At 47.4% G+C, this 25,301-nt stretch overlaps 1 protein-coding gene across 5 annotated transcripts in view, besides 3 other annotated features; it reads right to left on the bottom strand.

Moving 5' to 3' along the window:
* The window catches only part of MAN1C1 (mannosidase alpha class 1C member 1), a 167,660-nt gene that overhangs the window by 88,798 nt on the left and 53,561 nt on the right, over window positions 1-25,301 (bottom strand). For all 5 annotated transcript variants that reach the window (NM_001385182.1, NM_001385183.1, NM_020379.4 and 2 more), the window contains exon 2: window positions 9,117-9,213. In NM_001385182.1, coding sequence (NP_001372111.1) covers window positions 9,117-9,213 — 97 coding nt within the window. The remainder of the gene's footprint in view (window positions 1-9,116; window positions 9,214-25,301) is intronic.
* Window positions 2,888-3,136: a silencer, noted in NCBI's record as "fragment chr1:26019008-26019256 (GRCh37/hg19 assembly coordinates)". NCBI's record gives its function as "represses an EF-1alpha promoter that drives an FKBP-Casp9 reporter gene in an ReSE screen in HepG2 liver carcinoma cells {active_cell/tissue: HepG2}" and the evidence as "EXISTENCE:reporter gene assay evidence [ECO:0000049][PMID:32094911]".
* Window positions 19,210-19,259: an enhancer, noted in NCBI's record as "active region_463". NCBI's record gives its function as "activates an Ori minimal core promoter by ATAC-STARR-seq in GM12878 lymphoblastoid cells {active_cell/tissue: GM12878}" and the evidence as "EXISTENCE:reporter gene assay evidence [ECO:0000049][PMID:35858748]".
* Window positions 19,340-19,409: a silencer, noted in NCBI's record as "silent region_460". NCBI's record gives its function as "represses an Ori minimal core promoter by ATAC-STARR-seq in GM12878 lymphoblastoid cells {active_cell/tissue: GM12878}" and the evidence as "EXISTENCE:reporter gene assay evidence [ECO:0000049][PMID:35858748]".

Below are 25,301 nucleotides of genomic sequence, written 5' to 3'. Positions count from 1 at the left end.
CAAAAACTCTTTGAAGAAGGAAAGCGCAGAGTGTGGAGCGGTGAGTGGTCGGTCGGCGGTGTGAGTGCACGACACTGCAGCAAGCTAATTTCGAGGCGTGCTTTGCTCTGATGATCACCCCTTGGGCCCCAGGAATGTTCTGATCATCAGAAGGTGGCCGAGGAATTGTGCACATGTCACTCAAGGCCACAAGGAGACCACCATGGGGCCGTAGCATCTGTCTAACAGCAGGTTCTCTTATCTTCCTTGGGCTAAGGGCCTGGCTATCAGTGACCAGTGCTCCTAAGCCATTTCCTCCGACTTTTATATCCTCTGGCCTCCGGATGGCGCTTTCAGGGCTCTCAAAGCATGTGACTACCAGGAAGGTTTGCTTGCTGCCCTTAAGCCTGACCCATTCTATCCAAGGAATTGCAACATCACCACTTACAAAGCTGATGACAGCTTTTTCTCAAAACAAACTCAAAGCCTGGGTCAGGAATGTGCACCGCGGCCTGCCAGAATCAGTGAGCAACATAGCCCAACACTGAGTTTCCAGGAGCTATGGATTTTTTTTCTCCAGAAAAAAACCTCCAAAAACCAAAACTCATCAAGTAGTTATGGTATTTTCAGCCAGATAAGTCAAATGTATACACCGGGAAGGGTGTGTATACCTGCAGGGAAGAAAAAAAATGTAATGTTTGGTGAAGGCTTACTATGTGCTAACCCCCCATTTCACAGGTGAGTAGACTGAGGTTCAGAGAAGTTTGTGACTTGCCCAATTTCACTCAGCTGGTAAGTGCTAGGGATGGGATTTAAACCCAGGCATATCTCTGAAGTCAAAGCTGCTACCTCCCAGAAACATACGTGGAGATCCACGTACTAGGGAAGCAGCTGGTTTTCACAAACTATCTATCTGGCAACATCTGCAGTTCCCAAGGCAGCCACACTGGTGGAGTAACTCTCACCCCGACAAAAAGACCCACCAAGGCTGGTGTGTGTGTGTGGAGGGGGAGAGTATGAACAGTTTGCAGAAGGCACTACTAAGTCACACGCCAAAAAGCAATTGTAAAAATGACATCTTGGGGCCTGGATTTATTCCCTCTTCAACATCATATTTGCTCCGTTTACAAGGCAAAGATGATTTTTCTCTCTGCCAAGGCTGAACATTCCCAGCCTGTGATCTGAAAATCATGCTGTGTTCATTTTGCCTCTTAACTCACCCAAGGCCATAAATCATCCCTCAAAATGGGGATTTGGCTGGCAGTTCTATTGGGGATTTGCGAGGCAGAGGCGGAATCCAATTTGGGGCTCCTCATGGTCATCCTGGGGCTGGCTCAGAGCAGGGAGATGTTACTTTTGGCCACACAAGCACAGAGAAGAGGCCTGAACATCAGATCTGCTGACTAAGCAGAACTGCTACTTTTTACAGGGTCTGTCTGCTGATTCGGAGTGTACTCTGTGACGAGAGGTCAAGGCAGCTGCAGGGGATGAGAGGAATAGAGAACACAGCAAGACCCAGCCCTTACCCAGCCAAACCCAGGCCGAAGGACATGAGGGAAAATAGGGCACTCAGAGACTGCACTAGGCAATTTATTTATTCTACAAAATGTACTGAAAGCCTACTCTGCACCAGGCACTGTTTCTTTCCTTGGACTATACTTATTCTCATTATTACTTTTTACAAACATAATAATCACAGCAGCCTACATTTTATGAATGTATATGGGCAGGTACTATACACCAGGTGTTTTACACCCATCAACTTTCTTTAATCCTTACAGCTGTTGAGTGAAGTAGTTGTTATCCCCATTGTACAGATGGGGAAATTAGGTGCAGAGAAGTTAAGAAACTCGCCCAAAGTGACAAGACTACAAAGTGGCAGAGACAGGATTCAAACTTAGGCTGGTCTAGTTCTCAAATCCATTCTCCTCTCTGTCCATCACACTGACAGCCAATGGTATGTTTTGCAAGTACATTTGGCCTTGATCAACATGAACTTGTAATGCGTGGGTCCACCTAATCGCAAATTTTCTCTTTTTTTCCGAGATGGAGTCTCATTCTGTCGCCCAAGCTGGAGTGCAGTGGGGCAATCTCGGCTTACTGTAATCTCCACCTCCCAGGTTCAAGCAATTCTCCTGCCTCAGCCTCCCAAGTAGCTGGGTCTACAGGTGGGCGGCACCACGTCTAGCTAATTATTTTGTATTTTTAGTAGAGACGGGTTTCACCATGTTGGCCAGGCTGGTTTCGAACTCCTGACCTCAGGGGCTCTGCCCACCTTGGCCTCCTAAAGTGCTGGGATTACAGACATGGACCACTGGACCCAGCCAACGCAGATTTTCTTCTGCCTCTGCCATTCCTGAGACAGAAGACCAACCCCCACTTCCTCCTCCTCAGCCTGCTCAGCAGGAAAATGATGAGGATGAAGACCTTTATAATGATCCACTTTCACTTAATGGACAGTGAATATATTTTCTCTTCCTTTATTTTCTTAATAAGATTTAATTTTCTCTAGCTTATGTTATTATAATACAGTATATAATACACAGAACATACAAAATATGTATTAACTTTTTATTATTGGTAAAGCTTCCAGTCAACAGTAGGCTAATAAGCAGTTAAGTTTCTGGGAAGTCAAAAGTTATACTCAGATTTTCAACTGTGCAGGGGGTTGGTGCCTCTTACCCCTGTGTTGTTCAAGGGTGAACTGTAGATGTTTTTAGGTTATTAGGCACGCATAAAAGATGTTCCTATGGTGGAAGAAAAGAGGGAAATCTGAGTCTTCTGTTCGACCCCTGAGTACTCAGCTGATGTCTAATAAATGATGATGCCTAGAGATGGGAGGCTGCAGACCCTGACCACGAATCACATGCCTTCCCTGGCCTTCCACTGGGGGCAGTGGTGTACAGGACGTGGCACACACCAACCCAGAGACCATTCCCCTACCCCACTGTGTTCTTGGCGGCCACTGTATGTGGTCACTGGGAGACATGGCAGCATGGTAGTTTATGGCTTGGGTTTTGAAGTCCAGCGGAACTGGGATTAAGACTTTGCAAGTCCTCAAACTTGCCAAATCCCAATCTCCTCATCTGTGCAATGGGGATAAGATGGGTAATTTAGATTTTATAAGGGCTGTGAGGCAGACAAAGGGAATACAGCTATGGGCTGGACGCAGTGGCTCCCGCCTGTAATCCTAGCACTTTGAGAGGATCACTTGAGCATGGGAGTTCAAGATCAGCCCAGGCAACACAGCAAGACCCCGTCTGAATTAATTAAGAAATATATATATTTTAGAAAGAGAGTGAATACAGCTATGGTGCCTGGCATAATGTATGTGCAAGGAATGGGTTCTTGGGCCCGAAATCATACACCTCCTAAGAGACAGTTTCCCCCTGCTAATGCTCTGAGGATTTCTAGTTGCTAGTGGTGACTTGGCCATGATGGGCAGAGCTCTGTTTTGACAGCATGGCCTTGAACGATCTAGCTGATCTCAGAGTGTGCGGCGCAAAGAGCGCTGCACTGAGACTCAGGACACCAGAGTTCCAGTCCCGGTCCCCCAGTTAACATTCTGGATCACACCAGGCAAGCCCTTTCCCCTCTCTGAGCCTTGGTTTCCTCAACTCTAAATGAGGGGGTTGGACTCGCCATCAAAGAACCCTTCTGGGGTGACATTCCAGGACTCTGTGCCCCTTGACAATTTCCCCTGCTGCCAAGGGAGGATGAATTTCTCACGGACTACACAGATTTATTGGAAAGATGGATATCTGTTAAGTACTTTCAAGGCTGGCCAGCTGACCCCCATTGGCCATTGGCAGGAGGCTGATTTATTCCAAGATTGTGAACCCTAACCTTCCCCACCTCCTCCTGTTAAAAGTTCCAGTGTAAGCTGCTTAAATGAAGTTGTGAGAGGTACACAGCCTACCAATGATTGGCTCACCCAAGATTTCTGCCATGGGCATTTGAGGGCTGGGGGAAAAAACAGGGGGAATCAGGGCTGGGAAAGCCCTGAAGTCCTCATGTGGCTTCCTGGGTCCAGGGGACTTGGACGCCCACCCCAATCAAAATGGGAGCAGCACACACTGTTCTAAGGGTTTTGCAGCATCCTCATCGCAGCTGACGCTTGATGAATGCTTCCTATGTGCTGTGCATGAATATAAGCACTTCATGTGTGTGAACTCATTTTGTTCTCAAAACAATCTTGTGAAGGCGGTACCATTATTGTTCCCACTTTATAGATGGGAAAACTGAGGCCCAGAGAAGTTAAGAAACTCGCCCAAGGTCATGCAGTGGCAAAGCAGCATGCACATGCAAACCATCTGGCCCCAGAGTCCAAGTTCTTTTTAATTGTTGTTGTTGTTGTTTTTGAGACAGAGTCTCTGTTGCCCAGGCTGGAGGGCAGTGGCGCGATCTTGGCTCATTGCAACCTCCACCTCATGGGTTCATGCGATTCTCCTGCCTCAGCCTCCCGAGCAGCTGGGATTATAGACACATGTCACCACGTCCAGCTAATTTTTGTATTTTTAGTAGAAATGGGCTTTCACCATGTTGGCCAGGCTTGTCTCGAACTCCTGACCTCAAGTGATCCACCCGCCTCGGCCTCCCACAGTGCTGGGACTACGGGTGTAAGCCACTGCACCCGGCTGAGTCCATGTTCTTTAGCTAGCTTATTTAATATTCCCCCAAAGCCTAGCGGCAGGTGTAACATCTGTACCCTTTTACAGGCGAGGAAGCCAGGCCTCAGGGTACTGAGCCACTTTACGGCTGGTTCCTCCCCTGCCTCCCCTGACTCTGCCATGCATTCTTCAAGCTGCAAATTCACCTCTGTGACATAATGGCAATAATAGCACCCCCCGATCAAGTGCCTGCTCTGTGCCTGGCACGGGGCTAAGCCTTTGCAGGTCTCCTCTCTAATCCTCACCACAGACTGGAGGCGGGACCCCTGCCCCACTCCACAGCCCCTAAGCAGTAACCCAGAGTTTCCACCCAGGCCTGTCTGGATTCAAAGCCCATGCTCTTTCTGCCACCCAGCCAGACAATAACTGCCCTGTCTGGCCACCTCTCAGCAGAGGAGAAAATGGCAGATATGCGCCGGGCGCAGTGGCTCATGCCTGTAATCCCAGCACTTTGGGAAGCCGAGGAGGGAAGATCACAAGGTCAGGAGTTTGAGACAAGCCTGACCAACATGGTGAAACCCCGTCTCTACTGAAAATACAAAAATTAGCCGGACGTGGTGGCACACGCCTCTAATCCCAGCTACTCAGGAGGCTGAGGCAGGAGAATCACTTGAACCTGGGAGGCAGCGGCTGAAGTGAGCTGAGATCGCACTACTGCACTCCAGCCTGGGCGACAGAACAAGACTCCATCTCAAAAAAAAAAAAAAAAAAAAAAGAGGCAGAGATCAGCCTTAGCCTGAGCCACAAGGCGAGGAACGGGCTGCATCCTCGTTGTTGGTGGCCACTGGGGTTTGGGGAACATCTTCTGACAGGGCCTGCTGAGCCGGATGTGGGTAAAAAGAAAGCCACTTTGACACTGACTTGCTTAGGACACAGAAACTGGCTTCAGAGACGCCTCACCCAGAGATCTTGTCCTTAAAGTAAGAATAGATTCAAGGAAGGGCAAGTGGGCGACTGGGAGGGGGATTCACTTGGTGAAGTGCCACACCAGGAGACCAGGCTTGGGCATCCGACTGCCCTCGCTGCAGCTCCTGTAAATCTCAGCAAAACTAGGCACCTGTGTGAACTCATTACCCTTCCCCGCACACAGCCCTGCCAGCCCTGCAGGCCAGGGACGAGGCCGTAAGAGCCAGTGTCCAAGCCGAGCACCAGGAGGCGGGGCGCTGCTCAGGGTCTCCTCGTATACCCTACTCAGCCAGCACAGCAGAATGGGCACAACCTGCCACCTGACTGCACCCAGTGTCCCATGTCTGCAGGGCTCAGCCTATAGGGAGGACATTAAATGTCCAGGAATGATGCAACCCAGCAGCCCCCATGAGTCCAGAAAAGAAGGTGGGTGACAAGCTGCTTCATTCAGGCCAGTTTATCTCCTACCTTCAGGAATAGTCTAGCTTCAATGCCCCTCATGGGTTCACCCCAACTAGAACCCCTCTCAGGCTCCAAGAATGCCCCTCAGCCCTCCTCCTTTGGGTGTGTACCCATAAGCCTTCGTGTCCTATGACCCATTTGTGGTGACAGTAATCTGAGCTACTACCTACGAACAGGTTCTATTTGTCAGGCAGTCCCTAGGCCAGGATTTGAGTATATCATTAGTTCCAATTTACAGAAAAACTCAGCCTTGGAGAGAAATGACTTGTCCAAGGTCACACAACCAGGACGTAGTAAAGTCTGAATTTAAATCAGGTCTGCCGGAAGTTCCAGCCCGTAAGGACTGCCCATGTCAGCACTTGTGGTCACCCCCACTTGTCCCTCTCTCTGAGAGCACCTAGACAGACCCCCAAGAGGCTCCAGGAAGGGTTGCCAGTGCATGTCTTGGCAGAGTTGGTAGAACTTTCGCTGTCCCATTTATCCCTGTATCCCCAGCAGTCAGCACCAGGCACTGGCACCTAACAAGTTACATATGGAGTGAAGGAGTCAATCAAGACCGGCTTTCCCCACCCAGTGCCTGGTCCTCATGCATCTCCCTTTCCCAGGTGCCAGCCACCCACTGCGGCTGATCTGCTGGCTGCAGAGGGAAGGCTCTGCCTCACTGCTAGGAACGCTACATGTACTGGATGACAGGGCTCCCTGGGCCCTGCCAAGGCTACTCCTGAGACAGACAACCCAAGGGACCTCAGAGCCTGCCACAGGCTCACTGGGACAACTGCCAACCTCATTTATTACAACAGAAATCATAAATCACTCATGTAGACATGGCCCTTTGCTTGTTCGTACATACTCATTTATATCCTTATAGCAGTCCCATATGAATGATGAACTAACAGGGACCAAGAGAGGTTAAGTGCCTTGGATTTGGCCACATAGCTCAGGACAGAGTGAGGACTTGCGCCCAGGTCATCTGATTCTAATTCCGGGTTCTTTCCACCATTCCAGACGGCTCAAGCATGCGCCACCAGGCTTGATGACTGGAAAGGGGCCAGAGGGTTGAGATTTAAATCCCAGGCCCTGAGGAATTTTACAAAATGGAATCCCTCCCAGAAGTGTTTCCTGTGATGGTATAAGCAATAGCTGCGCCCATGCTGTGTGCAGTTTCAGGAATCATCAGCCCCTCCCACCCCACCACCAATTCCCTGAATATTTGCAAACTGTGTTTAGAGAGAAGGAGGAAGCTTTCTTGATAATGTCCCTGTTTATACTAACAGCAAAAGCTCCACAACTTTGATGGGATCTGCACCAGCAATCTTTCCCCAGGGCTGATGTAGGTTATGTGGGGAAGTTCTGTGTTCTAGGCAGGTAAGACAGCCAGGTTCCTAATGGGAATCAATACATCTCTTTAATTCATATTTGAAGTAAAAGAAACATCTCTCTTCCTCCCATTTGACTCAGGAATTCATCTCTAAAAATCCATCCCAAGACAAAATTTTATGCACAAAGATAAGTCTTGCATTATTTTTAATAGCAAAAAAATGGAAACAATCTTTACCCAACATTAGCAAGATAGTTAAATGAATTATGGCATATCCATACAATCACAGACACCGTTAAAACATTCTTTATGAAAACATTTAGATGACTTCGGGAAACACGATATAACATGAAGTCAAAAAAAAAGCAGAAAGGACATAAAATGGTATATAAAAGGAAGAAAAAGCAGAAAGAAGAAAAGATTGAGAATAAGCAAAGATGTCAATGGAGGCTGCATCTACAGAGCAGAACAGATTTTTTTTTTGCCTGATTTGCACTTTTTTGATACTTTCCTTTTCCCCCATACACTCCTAGGATAATGAGAAAAATAAATACATAAAGCTGCCCCAGTCCACACCCCACTTCCCACAAGGGGAGTGAAATGTCTGAACAGTCAGACAGGTGACGATCTGACTGGTGAAGGGGAGGAGGGCAGATTCCTGTCACTCTTTCCATAACATGGACATCTCTGATAGGGCTGCACACGATGGGGGTGATGGGGGGATATCCCTTGTAAATTTGCCTTGAAGATTTTCCTGGGAATTTCCATCTCAGACTCAGTTATTTGGTTCCTGACTTCAGGAGCCTGTATCTGTAAGGGGTGAGGAATCCAGGTATGGGACTGCCCCTCTCCAGCCCCACACCACTCCTGTCCCTCAGGGGAGATGGAGGCCAGGCTGCAGACAAGGGGGCTGGCAACTTGCATGGGTGTTACTGTTGGAATCTGAGCCCATGCCCACAAGAAGGCACCCTGCAGTCCCTCTGAGCCACAGAGAGAGACTCCCAAGGCTCTAGGTTAGGAGAATCCTGTGGCTGGAGGAGGACAAAGACACCAGCAAGTGCGGCTGCAGATAAAATACGAGTTGCCAGGCAGTAGCAGGCCCCATGCCCCATGCCCCCGCTCCTGATGTGCGGCTGCTCCACTTGGCTTCCGAGTAGCTTGTGAGCCATGACTCTATACCCTTTTGTTTTTGCTGCTGTTGTCGTTTTGAAATGGGGTCTCAATATGCTGCCCAGGCCGGACCTGAACTCCCAGGCTCAAGGGATCCTCCCACCTCATCCTCCCAAGTGACTGGTACTACAGGTGAAGGCCACCACGCCCGGCCCCCAGCCCCGACTCTAAATAGCATGTACCCAGCCCCATCAGATATGTGTTCAGCAATCTACGAAAACATCCAAGACCATTTCACAGCCACACTCCAGAGGAGTGGATTTAAACCTGGTCCTCTGTGTCCTTTAGGTCTCCAAACCTCCACGGAAACAAATCTCCATCCTTCACTATCCCTACTCCCATTTCCAAGTTTCTTCACTCTAAAAAATAAACGATAATTTCATACAAAGCAGTCTCTAAGGCTAGAGAGAAGCATATAGGATTCCCCCTAAATCTAGGAGGACTCAGAAGCCTGAAAAGCCCAGAGGAAACACAGACTTGGAAGGCCCCAGATCTGGAGAACTGTGGAGCCCCCACAGCTCAGGAGGTGAAAAGCCAAAAGTAAAATTCCACTCGGCCACTGGCGGGGCGGTGGGTCCCTCCCAATATCAAAGTGGTTTGAATCGACTCACCGAACATGTTACCCTCGTAGCCATCTTTTGTTAGTGGACGGAGTTCGTTTTTCCCCATTGCATAACGCTTATAGCTCTGCCAAGCAAACTGCATCATCTGCAAGAAAAAGCAGCATAGAGAGAACCTCAGTGTGACGATTCCTGGCAGTGCGCACTGGCCGCCTGGCTTTGCCCCTTGCAACGTGTTTTTAAACTAAAAGATAACCTTCCAAATTTTCCAAATTGGAGAAAGTGACTTCCTCGCAACATGATTTTATTTGTACAGTTATAGCTGCTGGGAAGGTCATTCTTCTTAGACAACGCCATGTGTCTAGGGCCTACCCACAGATTTCTTAGAGAAGACAGAAAAAGCACTAAATTCTAGATATCCTTCAGTGCCAAAGTGAAAAGTCACCTCTTCCAGGAAGCCTTCCCTGTTTTGCTCTGGCTTAAAGTCATCCTCCGAAGGGAAGGAAAATGAGTGCTTGCTATAATGGAACACTCCGAGCTAGGTATTGTTAACCCATTTTATAGCTAAGGAGACGGGTTGTAGACATGAGGTAACTCATCCAACATCGCTCAGTGAGTCAGTGAGAATGTTGGGAATTGAGCCATCCCCTCTGGCTCCAAAGCCTTAGGTCTGTCCCCAAAGCCTTGGTTTTGTCCCCTAAAATCACCATACGAGTCTCTTTGAACTCCTTTGACCTGCCCTGGCCTCCCATGCACTCCAGCTCACCCCAGTTACTTGTTGTTCCTCTGGCTCTGGATCATAAACTCCTTGAGGCTAGAAACAACACTTGCCTTGCCTCAGTTTCTCCCACAGCAACCAGCACAGGGCTTGGCACAATGGATGCCTATGGACTGTCACCCAGAGTATGCACAAGTTCTTCCTATGTGGACTGTCACCCAGAGTATGCATGAGTTCTTACTATGCAAGGCAGCTGCATCAGCTCTCAGGAGCGTCACGCCAGCACCTTGCTCCCCAGCTGCCCCAGGACCTTCAGGCTGAAGCAGATGCAAGGTCACAGTCCACCCCCAACCCTGCGCTGCAGCCCCCAAGGTCTCCCTCACTTGCCTTTATGGTGTGCCCCTTTTCCCTTGGCATGGCTGGCTGCAGAGGGAGCACAACACAGCAGAGTTCTGGGGTGACCCGTGGAGCAGAGGAGGAGCCGGGGCCCGCGGTGGCAGCAGAGCTGAGGCGCAGGTGGATGGGGAGGCAGCCTAGTGTGCTGGGAAATACTCAGGCTCCCAGATCAGAGATGCCGAGGTTCTAATCCCACCTCTGCCGCTATCTCTGTGACTTTGGCGTGAAATCAGTTGCATCAGCTGAGATCTGCTTTAGCAAGGGACAAGGCAGGCCTTGCCACCATCCTGATAGGTTTAAATGAAAGAGTGTAGTGGGAATGCCCAGTTTCCGACCAGACACAGCAAGTGATTGACAAGCACTAGCTCGATTTCCTCCTTGACCTTTAAAATACTGGCTCTCCAAGCCTCATCTATCCACCCCTCCTTTCATCCAGTCTCTTAGTTCTCAAATGTTAGCTTGCATCAGAATCACTGGGGGGCTTGTTAAAACAGACTGTTGGGCCCCACCCTGAGTTTTTGATTCAGCAGGTCTGGGGTGGGGCCCAAGAATCTGCTTTTCTACCAGTTCCCCTGTGCTGCTGCTGGCCCAGGGGCCACATGTGAGAAGCACCAATCTGTTATATTGTTTGTATCACTCACCTCACGCCCAGACAGTCCTGCGTCCGCTGGCTTTCCCCTCCTCTCTCCCAGCCTGTGTTTCCCGCCTTAGCGGCCCACTTTCTAGGATATCACCACCTGTATTCTCCATGCTCGGCCACTCCTGGTGCCCGCGCTTAGGAGACGTCTCTTCCAGGCACACAGGGATAGTAAACAGCTACTCTCACTGCTGCAGCCCAAACGCACAGACCAGGTGGGCAGGAAGACCTGACAGGTGCATGGCCTGGACTCTCCGTGAAATGGCAGAATAATCTAGCACCACTGCCCCATTTCACAGATGATGTAACTGAGGCCCAGAGATGAGAAGTGGTCATGGCAGCACAGCAGCCAGGCCAGAACCCCGTTCACTCATCTCCCAGGGCAGCTGACACCCCCCCAGGCTTGGCCAGACATGTGGCTTCCCATGTGACACACAAGCAAACGTCATGGTAACACAGCCAAGGGCTTGGCATGGGCTTTGAGTCCTGGTTCCATTCCTCTGTTATTTTCTACTTATCTTGAATTGGCAATAACAACAAATAATTGCCAGGCATGAGTGCTTGAGAGAGAATGGCCTCCTCCTTCAGTCTCTCTTATCTGAGGGCTCTATTAAGTCAGTATCGGGGGAGAGAGGCAGGTGGCTGGGGGGCTGGCGGGGGCAAGCAGCAAGCTGTTAAAGCATAAATGACAGCAGAAAAGGAGGAGAGGTCTAAGCGGGGGGCCACACCCTACCCTGAAAATTCCCCCTACCTAGAGAGAGAGAAGTGGGTGTTCCAGAGTAACTACGAGAATCATAGGTATCTACGTGGTCTCAAAGAAGCTGTCACTGCAGGAATGTGAGGTTTGGAACGTGGCCCGTTTTCATAGTTATCCAAACCAAGGGAGGAAATGAAGGCACAAAACATCCCAGCATCGCTGGGGACTGAATTCACAAGGCAATCAGAGCTGCCTCTTCTTGCTTTCATTCCCTCAATGCACACGTGCCTCCCGACTCCGGCCATGGGTGGCTCAGCCTAGGTGCTGGGTGAGCAGGGGACAGGGGATGAAGGGGACAGCCTCCTATCCAGGTGGTCCTTCTCTCTCTCCCTAACACACCCTAAGCAAGCCCCTACCAGGTATCCTGTCCTGTGTCTGGGCTATAGCCATGGTGGTAATGCACTTCCAGCCCCTACCCCCCACCCCCCTGCCAACTGCCCATCTTCCTTCAGGTCCCAGCTGAAAGGGCACTTTTGCAGGGAGACCTTCCTCCCAGTCTGAAGTCATCCTTCCCACATTCCTGATGCAGACCCATGGTGGCCTGCAGTCAAGCTTTTATATCTGCAACTATTTGGTCAGACCCTCCACCCCCATTCACTGCTACATGCCCCACAATGCATCCAAGGACTGGCACAAAGAAGGTGCTTGTTAAGTATTTGCTGAATTGGCTCTGGAGCTTAACACGTGGCTGGAAGACTCAACGTGGACCACACGCTTCACAGGCAAGACATATAACAGGCAAACAAGCCAGAGGAGGGGCTGCTGGGCAACAGGTGTTCAGAAGGGGGCAAGTGTGTGTCTCAAGGGAAGCTTCGTGGACAGATGAACAAGAGTTCTGATGGACAGGTAGGACTATGAGGGGCACAAGAAAGGGTGACCTACAGAAAGGCTAATGTTTTCACTCTGGAACTGGTGATGTGTGCCGTGGGTAATACCTGGACTTTAGAGATGGACAGTTCCTGCTGTCATGCTTAGGCAGTTCTAAGACCTCAAAGGTCTCCTGGGAAGTTCCTTAATAGTAGTCTCTTTTTTTTTTTTTTTTGAGATGGAGTCTCACTCTGCTGTCCAGGCTGGAGTGCGGTGGCGAAATCTCAGCTTACCACAACCTCTGCCTCCCAGACTCAAGCAATTCTCCTGCGTCAGCCTCCCGAGTAGCCGGGATTACAGACACGTGCCACCACGCTCAGCTAATTTTTATATTTTTAGTAGAGATGAGGTTTCACCATGTTGGCCAGGTTGGTCTCAAACTCCTGACCTCAAGTGATTTGCCCGCCTCGGCCTCCCAAAGTGCTGGGATTACAGGTGTGAGCCACCGTGCCCAGCCAGTGGTATCTTTTTGAACACGCTCAGTGATGGGCTGCTCTCCACCTTCCCAGGCCCATTTGATTGTGGAGTTTCACAAAGTTCTTCTTTAATCAATTGAAATCTGTTTTCCCTTATGGGCCACAGGGGAGACAATTCTTCCTGCTTCCATACCACAGACCTTCAGCCACGGGGAGCCAGCTCTTGAAGTGCACTCACCTATTAAGCCCTCTGAAACTGCAGACCCACATGACATAGTGTTCTTCCAGGAGCCCCACACCTCTGTCACTCATTTGTTGTGGCTGGCTGTTCTTTTGGAAATGGGCAGAAACCAAAGTGCACAGTCGCTCTGGTCACCTCTGTGCCAGATTGTGTAGGTGTGGACTTGTCATTTGTCCCTAATAACTTCCATCTCTTTGGACTCTGCCTATCATTCCATGCTGTAAGGATCTCTCTGGTTCCAGATCCAACCTTTCTGGAACAAGATCTTATTCAACACGTGTGTCTGCCTGCTTTGCATAATCTGCAGACTTGATGGGACTGCTATCTGCATCTACCCTCAGGTTTTGAACGGAAACATAAACAGCCAGCTAAGGACTAAGTTGGGAAAACAGCCTCAGGAGTCTCTCTCCTGGACCCAGCTCTGTTCTTTGTTTGTTTGTTTTGATGTCATTCATCAGCAAATAAGAAATCTGCCAAGCAATCCGTACAACCCCCGATTCTCCATTTTTGTACACCAAGATATTGTGAAAGACAGGCTGAAATATAAAGACACTCTGCCCTAGTACAGCTAGTACAGAAAAATAAATTGCTTTTTTTTTTTAAGGCAAATAGGGGGTTAGACTAGCATGATTGTTCTTAGAGAACCCATTTTGGCTCCTACGGATCATCATTTTTAATCCTAAATGCTTGCAAATCACTAACTTAAAAACCTATTAGTCCCACTAGGATGGCCATACCAAAAAAGATGGACAATGAAAAGTGTTGGCCAGGATATGCTGAAATCAGAACCCTCATACATGGCTGGTTGGAATGAAAACGGTGCGGCCACTTTGGAGAACAGTTTGGCAAAAAAAGTTAAATATGGAGTTACCATATGACCTAACAATTCTAATTCTAGGTACGGACCTGTGCAGAAAAGTTAATGCAGCAGGTCTTAGACGTCTGTCCTCAGAAAGGCCTGCTTGCGAGGTGGGTCCTCAGCTGGTGTCTAGGAACCTGGGTTTTGCGAGTGCTCCTATCAGTCTCTAACTGATAAAGGTGGTGTCCTGTGTCTGGACCATTTGTACAATGTGGCTTATGCTAAACAGCTACTTTCCTTCTGGAGTGTGGAATGCTGGTACTTGTTAGGAAGGGGGTGCCTACCTTGGGCACCGAGTCTCTAAAGAGCTTCCCTGGTCGATAACACCTTACACATCTTCACTGGGAGAGAACTCTTGGAAGCCTGCACCTGGTTTCCTCCGGGTTGTCCCCATCCACTGTTTCCTTTGCTAATTTTGCTCTGTAACCTTTCTTTTTTACTTTTTCTTTTCTTTTCTTTTTTTTTTTTTTGAGACGGAGTATTGCTCTTGTTGCCCAGGCTGGAGTGCAATGGTGCGATCTCAGTTCACCGCAACCTCCACCTGCCGGGTTCAAGCGATTCTCCTGCCTCAGCCTCTTGAGTAGCTGGGATTACAGGTATGCTTTTTTTCTTTTTTAGTAGATTTTTTTTTTATTTTTAGTAGAGAAGGGGTTTCTCCATGTTGGTCAGGCTGGTCTCAAACTCCTGACCTCAGGTGATCTGCACGCCTCGCTTCCCAAAGTGCTGGGATTACAGGCATGAGCCACCGTGCTCATCTGCTCTGAAACCTTTCACTGTAATAAATCATCGCCATGACAAGAACTATGGGCTGAGTCCTATGAGTCTTCCTAGTGCATCACTGAACCTAGGGGTGGTGTCTTGGGAACCCCTGACACATACCCCAGAAAGATAACAACATACAGCCACACAAAAACTTGGATACAGATGTTCACAGTGGCACTATCTGTAATAACCAAAAAGTGGAAACAGCCCAAATGTCCATTGATTGAATGGATCAACAGAATGTGGTATACCATGCAATGGAATATTATTCAGATGGAAAAAGGAATGAAGCACTGTTGCAGGCTACAGCATGGATGAAACTTGAGATACTACGATTAGTGAAAGATGCCAGATGCACAAATGCTACCTGGAGTATGATTCCATTTATAGGAAATGTCCAGCATAAGCAAATCCATCCGAGCAGAAAGCAGATTAGTGGTCGCCAGGGACTAGGGGAAGGGAGAAATGGGGAGTGACTGTTCATGGGCATGGGGTCTTTTCAGAGTAATGAAATTTTTCTACAATTGATTGTGGTGATTATTCACAATTTGTGAATATATTAAAATGACTGAGGCTGGGCATGGTGGCTCACACGTGTAATCCCAGCACTTTGGGAGGCCCAGGTGGGCGGATCATCTGAGGCCAGGAGTTCAAAACCAGCCTGGCCAACATGGTGAAATCTTGTCTCTACTAAACATACAAAAATTAGCCAGGTGTGGTGGCAGGTGCCTGTAATCCCAGGTACTTAGGAGGCTGAGGCAGGAGAATTTCTTGAACCCGGGAGGCAGAGGTTGTAGTGAGCCGAGATTGCGCCACTGCACTCCAGCCTGAGCCACAGAGCAAGACTCCGTCTCAAAAATGAAATAAAATGACTAAAATTTATACTTTAAAAGTCAGATATTATGGTATATGAATTTTATGGTATGTGAAATATATATATGTGTGTGTGTGTGTGTATATATATATATATATATATATATATATTTTTTTTTTTTTTGAGACAGAGGTCTTGCTGTGTCACCTAGGCCTCTACCCAGAGGTAGGCTCTATCTCAAAAAAAGAAAAAAAAGAAAAAGAAAAATGTCATTCTTTTTGGAAATATACAATGAAGTATTTAAGGGTAGAGGACATTATATTTGCAACTTTCAAATTGGTTCACAAGACAATATGTATGTACATGTGTATACATATATTATACATACAGTGTGCATATATATGATATATATGTAAAGCAAATGAGTGAAAAACAGAGAGAGAAAGCAAACAGGGTAAAATTAATGTTAACGTTTGCGGAATCTGGGTGAAGGTAAACGTAAGATCCTTGCTAGATTTTTGTAACTTTTCCGTAAGTCTGAAATGCCTTTTTTTTTTTTTTTAACTCATTTAGGAAATTTTACTGGAGGCTGTTATTTTCACCCAAATTTATACATTACACAATTCTATTTTCCTTCACTTTTTATAAATTACAACAGAATGTGGCCATTGTCAGTCTCCCTGAAGTTCTTCTTAGCCCCCAGTTCCTCAATGGCCTGGATGGGTCTTCATGTCCGTCTCACCAAGCCTGTTCCCCACGCTGGTCAGAGAAGGAAGAAGTCTGGTGAACAAATTAGGAACTAGCTATTTTGGTTTCTCCTTTTATAATTATATTAGCATGCTCAAAGGAGGTGCCTGTTTTCTTCCTACTCCAAAAAAATTAAAAGGCTCCTTTGGTGGTTCTGAGAATTTTCTACAAGTCTCAGCTCAATTCAGGCTTCAGCCCTCATGCCCGCTTCTCCCACTTCTGGGTCACTCCCTTCTCTTGAACTCAGCTCTGTGCCCCTTCCTTCTCTCTTCTGCATAAATCCTTTCAGGTAATTTTAAAAACAAGGTTCACCTCTCTCTCTCTTGTCTCATCTCTCTCTCTCGTCTTGTTTCTCTCTCTCTCTCTCGTCTCCTCTCTCTCTCTTCTTGTCTCTGTCTCTCTACCTTTTAATGTATCAAAGGCACACAAGCTCGCTGAAGAAAAGCAGAAAAAGAGAAGGAAAACAACTGCCCATTATTTAACAACCACCATTCCCATTTTGGCGTCTTTCTCTGCAGGTACCTTTGTTTTTCCCTCTCATATTGTACCTTTGTTTCTTCCCATAATTATGACATATTCCAATTTTATTACAAAGGCTTTGTAAACATCACTTTTAATAGCTATATAATAGCTTAGAAAGTGGGTTCATCATCATTTACTTCACCTCCTTCCCATATAATTAGACATTTTGGTGATTTCTAGTTTGGGGCTATTGTAAATAATGCCATAGTGAACATCTCTGTGCACATAACATTTTGAATAATTTCCTTAGACCAGAGTTTCTAAGAAGTTGCTAAGAAAAAACTTTTAAAGTTATTAATATGTAACGCCCTTTTAAGAGATTACAGCCAGACAGCATGTTTTGCCCACCACTGTGCAAAACTTGGTGAACAGGAAACTGTTTAACGATTTTGAGACAATACGGTAAAGTAGTTCACTTGGGGAGATAAAACTAACAAAATGAACAATCATCACTTATATTTGTGCAGCTCTTTGCATATTTTATCTCATTTGATTTGGCCAGTTCAGTGGGCTGGACAAGACAGATATTTGTTCCATTTGGAAATAATTATGCAAGGGCTAAAGTAGGAGATGTAAAGTAGTAAATAGGTATTAAAAATTGTGTTTACAAATGTTTCATGATAGGCAAAAATGCTCAGTATATATTATTAGGTGGAAAGGCAGAACACAAAATTACATAGTATGAAATTCACTGGCCTATGTATGAGTGTTTACAAAAAAGACTGAAAGAAAATATACCAAATTCTTAACAGCGGTTATGTCTGATAGAAGTTTAGTGATTTCTATCTTTTTCTTCTTATTGACCTATATTTTCTGAATTTTCTACAGTGAATATCTAGAAAGGTTTTGTGATGTGAAAAATACAGGTTGTTAAAATGAAAAACAAAAAGAAGACATCGTATGGTGCTACCCTTAAGTCAAAAGCAAGTGCCTGGGTGGTCAGCCATGGGGTAGGTCGGACCAAGTTAGGTTTTGATTAAAAAAAAAAAAAAAAAAAAAAAAAAAGGAGGTCTTTACAGCAGGGAGTCAGAGAGAAGGTCACCCAGCAAGAGAAACAACATCAAACAGAAGCACAGATCCAGAACTCCAGAGTCAAAGAGAATTTTAAGACCAGAAACATCATCTATTCTCAAAGCCACATTTTATAAGAATATAGACTCAGAAAGGGAAGGGACTTGCCTCGGCCAGGACACAGACACTAATAGCACAGAGATAACCATGTCTCTAAGAAACATGGGCCAGGGCAGTGCAGTAGCTGACTGGGGAAAGGGCCAGAGCTACAGCAAGAGATACTCAGGACAGGTGCAAGAACATGACAGTCGGAACCAATCAACATGAGAACTATGCACCAAAAGAAACTGTACCCCTGTCCCCACTAGGTTCTAGAAACGCGCAACAGGCAGTCATTGTGTGTGTGTACGTGTGTGTGTGTGTGTGTGTCCCTGCTAGAGATAGAGGGTGGCTCTAGATGGTCTCTGGAAGCCCCTCCCTTCCTGTAGCCTGTGATTTATAGATTCAAAGAGCACCTAACAATAGACCACAAAGCCTTCCCTTCACTCAAGTCTTGCAAAGGTGGAAAACAAAGCTCCAATGATAGAGAGATACAGGCAGAGCCATCGGAGCTGAATCCCAAGAAATCTCTTCAGTTCTTCCTCAAACAAAAGATGTTCTTGTCTACCTGAACAAATCAAAATGACACGGAATTTTTTAGTGCAAAATATTTACTAGTGTGAGGCAGAACATTATTATTTGGTTTAAGATTTTCTTTCTACCTGTCTCAGAGCTCAAGAGTTCTCTCCTGCAGAAAAGAGACTAGAATCGATCACCCAGGCACAGATGCCCACTCAGCTGAGGACCCCAGAACAATGAGATCAAGAGAGAAAGGATGCATTAGAGGAGGGGAGGACACGTGGGTGCCAGCAGACCACTCCCAGAGTGGAAAACTCCAAAGTTTGTGTTGGACAGTTCTCTGGGGGTACAACTTGGAAGGAAGGGGGTGAGCATTGAATATTGAGACATTCTCCCCCACTTTAAAAAATCACACACATACACACAAGGCTGGCTCTGGCAGTGACCCAGAACCACAGTTGCTACATTCAAAGCTGCCAAGGAAGGAAATGGATTTTCCCAGTCATTAAAGACAAGTGCTCACACCATGACGTGCAGCCTTACTGGCGTCTCCCAGCAGTGACACCTGGCCCCATTTGCAGGGGCCAAGTGGGAAGGGATTTGGTCTCTAACGATCCTGGGATCTAATGACTATGTAGACAGAGAGCTTAGAACATTGGGTTGATTTTTTTCTCCTCTTCCACTTTCAGCACAGTCCAAGGGAAGAGCTGACAGCTTGGCACCTAAAAACTATCCACGTTGGATTTTCTGATCCAGTTCCATTTATTGGGGCAACACAACATGACCTGGTTGGTGACCCCAGTGAGGCTCCTGCAAATACACAGCCCAGGTCTATCGCTCAGAAGCTGGGCACGGGTGGGGTTTGGTTGCCCGGGGAGGTGAAGCGGGGGAGTAGAAGGGGAGATGCTGCCTCCAACCCTCTCAGTTTCGGGTTTACTCAAGCTATTGAAAGGCCAATGTGGGAAATGAGCATATGATACAACTCCCACCCACCTGAGGTCCAGACAGCTCACCCACATCCTGCCCATGGGGTTTCAGGTTTGAGCAGTCTCAGGAATCGCATCCTGTCTGCAGCTGTTTCTAAGGCATCAGGGTCGAGAGTGTGGGCCATACAGGCAGAGAAACTCTCGCTGCTCAAAGTGCTCCAGGGACCAGGAGTAGGGCCACCCAGGGGGCACGTCAGAAACAGAGTACCTCAGTTCCACTCTCCCACCTGCTGAATCTGTAGCAGCAGTTTAACAAGAGCCCCAGGTGATTCAAACGCACATTGAAGCTTGAGAGGCTGCTCTAGGGCTCTGCCACCTTACTGGCTGTGTGGCCTTGAGTGAGTGACTTAACCCCTGTAAGTCTCAGTTTCCTCATCTGTAAAAGGACAGAAATACTTAATCCTTAGAATAACCCTAAGAGTAAATAACAGATGTAAAGTGTTGAGCACAATGGCTCGTATATAATATGTGCTCAATAAAAAGCAGCCATGGCATGGATGTGGTGAAAAGTGAACACTTTTACACTGCTGGTGGGAATATAAGTTAGTACAACCACTATGGAAAACAGTATGGAGATTCCTTAAAGAACTAAAAGTAGAACTATCATTTGATCCAGCAATCCCACACTGGGTAACCACCTCCCCCCCCCCCCGCAAAATAAGTCATTATATGAAAAAGACACTTGCATACACATTTATAGCAGCACAATTTGCAATTGCAAAGATACGAAACCAACCCAAGTGCCCATCGACCAATGAGTGGATAAAGAAAATGTGGCATATATACACCATGGAATACTACTCAGCCATAGAAAGGAATGAAATAATGTCCTTTGCAGCAACTTAGAAGGAGCTGAAGGCTCTTATTCTAAGTGAAGTAACTCAGGATTGGAAAACTAAATATTGTATATTCTCACTTATAAGTGGAAGCTAAGCTATGAGGACACAAAGGCATAAGAATGATATAATGGACTTTGGGGACTCAGAGTTGGGGGAAAGACTGCAGGGGTTGAGGGATAAAAGTCTACATATTGGGTACAGTATAAACTGCTCAGGTGACAGGTGCACGAAAATCTCAGAAATCACCACTAAAGAACTTATCTATGTAACCAAAAACTACCTGTACCCCAAAAACTACTGAAATAAAATGAATCAATCAATCAATAAAAAGCAGCCACAGGATACTGCTATCCTATTAACGTATCCACTAAAAGAGAAGTATCTCTCCATCCACTTCTCTTTGTACCACCACCATGAGCACCACCCTAATCCAAACCACTCCCATCTCTCCATGGAACTCCTGCGACTGCCTCCTGACTGGCCTAGATGGGTCCTCCCTGGCTTCCTACACTGCTCTCCACATTGCAGCCAGGGTGGTTATTTGAAGTGCAAATTTATTCATATCGCTCTGCTTCATCCCAAACACACACTTAAATAAACTCCTTCTTGAGGCCCATCAGGCCCAGGAAGTCACCCACTCACGCCTTCAGTCAGCTTATCCTCCCCATCTCTGCCACAGCCACACTAGCTTTCTCTCTCTTTTCCTCAAGGAACCATGCCTCCCCCTGCCACAGGGCCTTTGCACACAATAGTCCCGCTCCTTGGACAACTCCTCCCTCCTCTTTTTGCCTGGTGAATTCCACTCATCTTTCAGTGCCCAGGCTTGGTTGCCACTTCCAAGAGAGGTCTTCCCTTCAGGTTGAATCACCCTATTATGGAGGATTATTAAAGTCAAAATTTTACATTAGTTGTGTGATTAATTAGTATCTATTTCCCTGCATGATTATGCAGGCTCCACGAGGCTCTGTTGGCTCCATTGCTCATTACTGCTCCCTAGCACCTAGGAGAGTACCCAGCACATAGAGACTTTCCATAAAAATATGTTGATTAAATGACTAAGGATGGTGACAACACGAGGCAACCTCTAGGGCTGCTCATGTCAAAGGATTAAGGAGGATGCCTGGGACAGAAGCACTCACTGCCCAGTGGCCTTGACTCAACAAGGATTTATCAAAGGCCCAATAAAGGGACAGCTCCAATTGTGAGGCCACAACAGCAAGAGCAGGTGAGACCCTTCCCAGCGAGGCTTTGGTCTTGGTGCAGCGTGCAGACAGACAAGAGCAGCTGCACAGAGAAGGCCACCAAACCTGGGAGCCACTGCATTGGGACAGGTCCCCAACCGCTCTGTTCTATCACAGATTGGGTGTTAGGTGGGGGCAGGAAGACAGCGTGTGGGGGACAAAGATGAGTGACAGTGGGAAAGATCTTAGGTCACCCACAAGTGAAATTCCAATGCGAAATGGTTCAACAAAACCTGCCCATGTGCAAGTGTCTCTACCATTTCCAAAATGCTTTGCCTTTTTCATTTGAGCCTTACCGTCACCTGTGAGTTAGGCAGGGTAGGGGTAATCACCCCCATTTTACAGCAAAAGAAACCGCACTTCCACATACAGACATTTATGGGACATATTGTGTCATGCACACTGCTAAGTGCTTTTGTATGCATGTGCACATGCCGTTTTCACCACATCTCTGTGACGTGCTCCTGGGGAGGAGGTAAGGCATAGCAGTTCAGAGCCTGGCTTTGGATCCTGGCTTTACCCAGCTGTGTGTCTTTGGACAAGATACTTAACCTCTCTGTGCCTCAATCTGTTCATCTGTGTAAAAATAATGATACTGTTATATTTACCTAGTGTTTTCCATGAGTCATCAGTGCTTTACATATAAACTCATTTAATCTTCACACTAATTTTATAGGACTGGTATAACATTACTCTCATTTTCAGGTAAGGAAACTGAGGTACTTGCCCAAGTATCATAGCAAGTAAGCAACAGAGCCAGGATATGAATGCAGGTGGTCTGTGCTCACAGCCACAATACTCCACTGCCTCACAGAATGGAGCAGAAACCGTGCCTGCCTTCTCTGGGTGCTGCAAGGATCAGTTACAATGCCAAGGCCCTCGGCACAGCACCTGGGCACAGCATACTCCACTAAGTGTTCGCAGGTGCTCCGCCTGCCCCGGGCTTCCCATTCATCGTCTTCCCTGCATCGGGAGACAGCGCTGTCATCCTGCTGCTGGCTCATATCAGAAACCAAGTCCTCTCAAGTCTCCTTTCCTCCCCACCCAAATCTATTCAACAGGATTTCTGGCGATGACATCTCTGACTCACCTCCTTTCCCCCTCCCCGTTCACCTCTGGCTGTCATCTGACTGTCTGTAATGGTCTCCAGCTGCCCTCTCTCCCCGCATGTCACCCCCATCCTTTCTCCAAACAGCTACCAGGGCCACCCTTTGAAAAGGCAAACCATTAAATGCCATTCCTCTGTGTAAGAGCCTCCAACCGCCAGCCCCATGGCACTGAGCCTCAAAACACCTACCTGCCTCTTGGACTTTCCCCACCACGCTTCAGCCACAGGGCCTTTGCCCATCACCTCAAACACACACAGCCCCCCTTGCCTAGGGCAGGAAGATCAATGGCCCCCAAATGTTCTAATCCTCAGAGCCTGTGAATGTTGGGTTACAAGGTAAGATGGAATTAAGGTTTCAGATGGAATTACAGTTGCTAATCAGCTGACTTGGGGAGAGGGAGATTAGCCTGATTATCGGGGTGGGCCCAGTACAATCAGAAGGGTCCTTATAAGTAGGACAGAGAGGCAGGAGAATCAGTGTCCAAGTGATGAGATGTGAAAAAGACTCCACCACTGCTGGCTTTGAAGATGGAGGAAGGTGGCCATGAGCCAAGGAATGCAGAGATGCAGGTGGCCTCTCGAAGGGATTCTCCCTGTGATGGTTCATGGTAGATGTCAACTTGACTGCACTAAGGGATGCCCAGATAGCTGGGAAAGTATTCTTTTCAGGATACTGGAAAGGGTATGTCTGCAAGGGTGTTTCTGGAAGAGACTAACATTTGAGTTGGTGGGTTGAGTTAGGAAGGCCCGCCCTCGCCCAATGTAGGTAAGCACCATCCCATCAGCTGAAGGCCTGCATAGAAAAGGTAGAGGAAAGGGCAAATTATCTCTCTCTCTCTCTCTTCTGGAGCTAGGGCACCTTCCTCTCCTGCCCTTGGAATCAGAACAACAAGTTCTCTGGCCTTTGGACTCTGGGACTTGTACCAACTGCCCCTCCACCCCCAGGTTCTGAGGCTTTCAGCCTTGAGCTGAGAGTTAGGCTGCTGGCTTCCCTGGTTCCCAGGCCGTTGGGCTTGGACTGAGCCATGCTACTGGCTTCTCTGCTTCTCCAGTTTACAGATGGCCTGTTGTGGAACTTCCCAGCCTCCATAATCATGTGAGCCAATTCCCCTAATAAGTCCCACCTCTACCATCTCCTACTGGTTCTTTTTCTCTGGAGAATCCTAATTAATGCACTCCCCTAGAACCTCCAGAAAGGAATGCAGCATGGCCTGGCCAACACCTGCATTTTAGCCCAGTGAGACCTGTTTCAGACCCCTGACCTACTAAACTGTAAGAGAACGAATTTGTGTTCTAAGTCACTGAGTTTTTGTGATTTGTTACTAGAGCAAGATAAAACTAATACACTACCTCACGGCCTTCGTACATGCCAATGAATAACCAAATGAACAAACCAACCCACCAAATCTCCAGTGCATTTTCCATTCCACCACAGCACATTCCTACATGAGGCGTTCTGATGTTCTGGGGCACAGGCAACAGCATTCTGAATTCACTATCCTCCTACGGCCCCCTATTGTCCATCAGTGACAATACCTAACACCTCTACGGGATAATCATTTATTTCATGTCTGTCTCCTTTGCCCTTGAATGCTGGAACCTATTCCCCTCTGTATCCCCAACCCCTAGCACAGAGCTTGGCCATAAAGAGGGAGTCAACATAGCACATCAATACAACAATGGCTCATGCATTACCTCTATTATCCAGTAGTGGACATCCACTGAGCACTTACTGTGTGCCACCCACTGGGTTAGGCCCTTCACGAGCATTTAATCCTATGCCAGCCCGTATCCTTATTTTACAACATGAAGCAATGAGTCCTGGAGGGTGAAATAACTTGCCCAAGGACATGGAACAAACAGCAGCAGCGACCAGGTGTTGTGGCTCAAGCCTGTAATCCCAGCACTTCTGGAGGCCGAGGCAGGTGGATCGCTTGACCCCAGGAGTTTGAGACCAGCATGGGCAACATGGTGAAACTCCATCTCTACTGAAAATACAAAAAAATTAACTGGGCATGGTGGCACGCACCTGTGGTCCCAGCTACTTGGGAGGTTTAGGTGAGGGGAATGCTTGAGCCCAGGAAGTGGTGGTTGCAGCGAGCCAAGATCACGCCACTGCACTCCAGCCTGGGTGACAGAGTAAGACCCCATCTCAAAAAAAGTAGTGGCAGAGGCAGGCAATGGATGCAAGAGGCTAAATCAGAGCTGCAGTCTTAACCATGACAACAAATTACTTCTTACCCAACCACCCTCAGAGGTAAGACCAGTCTCTCTCCTTTTGCCAACATTTGGGCTCTGTAGCTGGCAGGTGGCAGAGCCAGTGTTTGAAGCTGGGGTCTGGCTGATTCAGAAAGCTTTGTCTCTTCCATCTCACCAGGCTGCTCTACTGTCTAATGAATGAACCAACACGACATAGACCCAGCACCTCTGGACAGCATGTGGCACACACAGCATCAAACGAAGGCCGGCTGCTGCCCTGTGCCTGGCTCAAGTGGCCCATCCTTATGTCTGCTTCTCTTTGAAAATGAGAAATGTCCAAATTCCCACCCCCTGAAGGCTCAGTCTGCTAGAAGGAATGGATGACCTGCTTTAAAGCTGCCCCAGCAGAGCCTGGAGCCTTTGGAAACATGAAAGAGGCGGAACCAGTTCTTTTACCCAAACTTTAACAATTTTTTTTTAAAGAAACAGGTTTAAGTG

The sequence above is a fragment of the Homo sapiens genome, chromosome 1 (genome assembly GCF_000001405.40).
Source record: "Homo sapiens chromosome 1, GRCh38.p14 Primary Assembly".
Lineage (NCBI taxonomy): Eukaryota > Metazoa > Chordata > Mammalia > Primates > Hominidae > Homo > Homo sapiens.
The sequence above is the reverse complement of the archived record's forward strand: the minus strand, read 5'-3'. Positions and strand labels throughout refer to the sequence as shown.